This window comes from Homo sapiens, chromosome 11 (assembly GCF_000001405.40).
Source record: "Homo sapiens chromosome 11, GRCh38.p14 Primary Assembly".
In the NCBI taxonomy this organism is placed as follows: Eukaryota; Metazoa; Chordata; class Mammalia; order Primates; family Hominidae; genus Homo; species Homo sapiens.
Window position 1 is genome coordinate 96735641 of NC_000011.10, and position 4209 is coordinate 96739849.

A 4209-nucleotide genomic window follows, 5' to 3' on the forward strand; every position below is an offset into this window, starting at 1 on the left:
TATTTCTTTTCTTCTGCTAGCTTTGGGTTTGTATTGTTCTTGCTTTTCTTGTTCCTCTAGGTGGAATGTTAGAGTATTAATTTGAGATGTTTCTAATTTCTTTGTGTTGGCATTCAACATTATAAACTCTCCTCTTAACACTGCTTTAGCTGTATCCCACAGACTTTTGTATGTTGTGTCTTTGTTTTCATTAATGTTGAAGAAATTTTTGATTTCTGCCTTACTGTTGTTGTTTGCCCAAGAAACATTCAGGATCAAGTTGTCTAATTTTTATGTAATTGTGCAGTTTTGAGAGATCATCTTGATATTGATTTCTGTTTTTATTGCACTGTGGTTTGAGAGTGTGCCTGGTATGATTTCAATTTAAAAAAATATTTTGAGACTTGCTTTCTGGCTGAGCATGTGGTTTATCTTAGGGTATGTTTTGTGTGTGGATGAGAAAAATGTATATTTTGTGGTTTGGGGATAGTATTCTGTAGATACCTATTTGATCCAATTGGTTAAGTTTCAAGTTTAATTCCAGAATTTCTTTGTTAATTTTATGCCTCATAATCTATCGAATGCTCTCAGTTGGGTGTTGAACTCTCTGCCAATTACTGTGTGGCTGTCTAAGTCTTTTTGTTGGTCTAGAATAACTAGTTTTATAAATCTGAGTGCTTCGATGTTGTGTGCATATATATTTAGGATATTTAAGTGTTCTTATTGAATTGAATGCTTTATCATTATGTAATGCTCTTCTTTGTCCTTTTTTACTGTTACTGCTTTAAGTCTGTTTCATCTGATAGAAAAGTAGTGACCTGTGCTCTTTTTTGTTTTCCTTTGCGTGGTACATGATTCTCTATCCCTTTACTTTGAGCCTGTAACAAAAGATGGTTGGGTCTTTTTTTTTTTTTTTTTAATGCAACTTGCCGATCTATTCCTTTTAAGAGGGGTGTTTAGATGATTTACATTCAAGGTTAATATTGATATGTGAGATTTTGCTCTTGTCATCATTTTGATACAGGCTTGATTGTGTAATTGCTTTATAGTGTCTGTGACTATGTACTTAAGTGTACTTTTGTGGTAGCTGGTAATTGTTCTTTCATTTCCATGTTTAGCACTCCCTTAAGGATTTCTTGTAAGCCTGGTCTAGTGGTTACAAATTCCCTTAGCCATTACTTGTATGAAAAGGATTTCATTTCTCCTTTGCTTATGAAGTTTAGTTTGGCAGGACTCGAAATTCTTGGTTGGATTTTTTTTTTCTTAAGGGTGCTAAAAATAGGCCCCAATCTCTTCTGGCATGTATGTTTTCTGCTGAGAGTCCACTGCTAGCCTGATGGGGTTCCTTTTTAAGTGATGACCCTTCTCTCTATCTGCCTTTGAGATTTTTTTCTTTTGCTTTGACCTTGATGAATCTGATGACTATGTATGTTGAGGATGGACATCTTGCATAATACCTCACAGGTGTTCTCTGAATTTCTTGAATTTACATGTAGTCCTCTTTAGCAAGATTGGGAAATTTTTCATGCACTGTATCCTCAAATATGTTTTCCAAGTTGCTTACTCTCTCTCTTTGTCTTTCAGGAATGCCAGTGGGTCATAGGTTTGGTTTCTTTATGTCATCCCATATTTCTCCGTGATTTTGTTCATTTTTAAAAATACTTTTTTTTTTTTTTACTTTTATCTGACTGAATTGATTCAAAGGATCAGTCTTCAAGCTCTGTTGTTCTTTCCTCCACTTGCTCTATTCTGTTGTTTAATGACTTCTGATTGTATTATAAAATTCTTGTAGTGAATTGTTCAATTCCAGAAGTTCAGTTTGCCTCCTTCTTAAAATGGCTGTGTTGTCTTTCAACTCTTGGGTAGTTTTACTGGATTTCTTGGATTAGGTTTCAACTTTATCCTGAATCTTGATATGTTTCCTTGACATTCAGGTTCTGAATTCTATGTCTGTCATTTCAACCGTTTCAATCCAGTTAAGAACCACTGCTGGGAAGCTAGTCCGATCATTTGGAGGTAAGGAGACACTCTTGACTGTTTGAATTGCCAGTGTACTTGCACTGATTCTTTCTCATCTGAGAGGGCTGGTGCTCCTTTATCTTTTTGAATTTGCTGTTGTTTGGATGGGGGTTTCTGTTTTTATATTCTTTATTTCCTTTGAGGGTTTGACTGTGGTGTAAATTGAGTATAGTTGTTTGGCTTCATTTCTGGGTGCTTTCAGAGGGCCAAGGCTCTTTATGGGATCTTCATTTGTAGCTAGATTCTTGCACTGGATTTCGTAGGTGACATATGCTAGAATTTTTTTGGTGGTGTTGTTCAGGATGTGATCTAGTAGGTGACTTTTATGAGTAACAACCAGAGGATAGGATTTCAGCCACATGGCTCTTTGTAATTCAGTGTGTTTATAGCAGTGCTTTCTGATGGGGGAGATGGGGAGGGAGGGCAATGCGGGAAAAGATGATCCCCTTGCCAGGTCCATTACTGGGCCTCAGGGAAGCCCCCTCCAATCACTGGTGCCAAGCCCACACTTCGTTAGCCACAAGGGGGGCCCTGGTGGGCTGTGCTCCCCTCTCCCTTAGGGGCTACCCAAGCTGAAGGATAGGTTACCAGGAGACCCACAACACTCCAGAGGCCCACTGGTCTTCTGTACTTGGCAAAATCGGAGCAGGTTGTTGGGTATGTCCACTGGTGGTGTGTTGATGCATTAGGTCAAAGGTGGGGTATCACCTGGTAGGGCAGTGTTGCTGTGGGTGTGCAGCCTATGAGGTGCTCATAGCCTGGGGCTAGGGCTGTATGTTTTTTTTTTTTTTTTTTTGTATTCTTTTGCCCAGCAGACAGCTGTGCAGACCACCCAGCTGCTCCAATATGTGGCCTGCCCAGCGAGTTTTGTCCCAAGCCTTCTGCACACAAATCGTTGGCCTGTTAGACATTCCAGGCACTGTGGGGCTGCCTCAGGCAGAGGCTGCTGCTGGTGGCCAGGCCACACCTTTCCTGGACCAGCCCTGTAAAGGGATGCATGCCCAGCTCCAGGAAGGCATACCAGCCCAGGAACCTGCGCCTCACAATCTTCTCAGTATTCTGAGAGTGAGGGCTCTTCCCGTGCTGAGTTCCAGCCACAGATCTCAGCTTTGCACCCCAGAGCTGCATACCCTAACCCTTTAGGTGCTGGGACTGGGCCTGCTGTTTTGTCTTCTGGCCCCTTGGGGTTGGGCACTGGCTGTGCTGGGGGAACAGAAGTGCTCCCAGGCCACAGGGGAGTGGTGGGATCTCTTGCAGTTAAGATCCCAGAGCTCCGCAGTGAGAGTGGGTTGCCTGTCCTGCTGTCACTTCACTCACCCCTTCCTTAGGAGCTGTTCAGGGTTGGGAACTAGTCCTGGCATTTAGCAAGTCCATGTGGGGTTCGCAGCTTTCTCCCTCTTCAGCCTCCCTCTTCAGTCTGCATCACCTCTCTGTCAGCTCTCAGTGTTTTCTCTCAAAAGGTTTTTCAAAGTATGTTAGTTTACTGGATATTTTGGTCTCTCTTGGTGGGCGAAGTGCTTCCTGGTTACATCTAGTTGGCCATCTTGTCTCTGCTTCCCACCACTCTAGAAGTTAGCTACTAACCTGAATTTTGTCTTAATTATCTCTTTGCCTCTTCAAAATAGTTTACAACATATGTAGGTAACATGTATTTTTGAAGTTTAAATACTCTTAACAGTATTTTTAAAGTTCTATTATTTTTATATAAAAGGAGTCCTACTTGGTTAATGTTTACTTGAAAATTATCCATGATGATACCTGTATCTGTAGTTATCCATATCTAATGATGAACAGTGCTCTAATTGTAGCAATATACTACACATTTTTTGTCCCTTGTTTTTAACATTTGGTTTTCACTTAAAAAATTGTTTTTTGCTATTATCAAACAATTATGGCATGAATGTTTCTATTCATGTTTTCTGGTGCACATGTACGGCGGTTCCATTTCAGAGCTACCAGATTTTAATTAATCAAGGAGAGTAAGTCTGACAATACCATGGTATCAAGGTATTTGATATTTCTGTATAACAAAACACCTGAAAATGTTAGTGGCTTAACTCTAGTCTTGTGAGGTTGGCTTAGCTCTTGTGCTAATCTGCCCTGAGTTGAGCTGATCTCTCCTGGGTTCATCATATGTCAGCTAACAGTTCATAAATTGGCTGGGACTGGCTGCATCAGGACACATTCATGTCTGCTCTGAACCATCTTTCA

At 40.6% G+C, this 4209-nt stretch overlaps 1 annotated feature.

Annotated features, from left to right (window-relative positions):
• Positions 2843 to 3541: an enhancer, noted in NCBI's record as "H3K27ac-H3K4me1 hESC enhancer chr11:96609483-96610181 (GRCh37/hg19 assembly coordinates)". NCBI's record gives its function as "activates a minimal SCP1, AML or CMV promoter by ChIP-STARR-seq in naive H9 embryonic stem cells {active_cell/tissue: H9 hESC(naive)}" and the evidence as "EXISTENCE:reporter gene assay evidence [ECO:0000049][PMID:30033119]".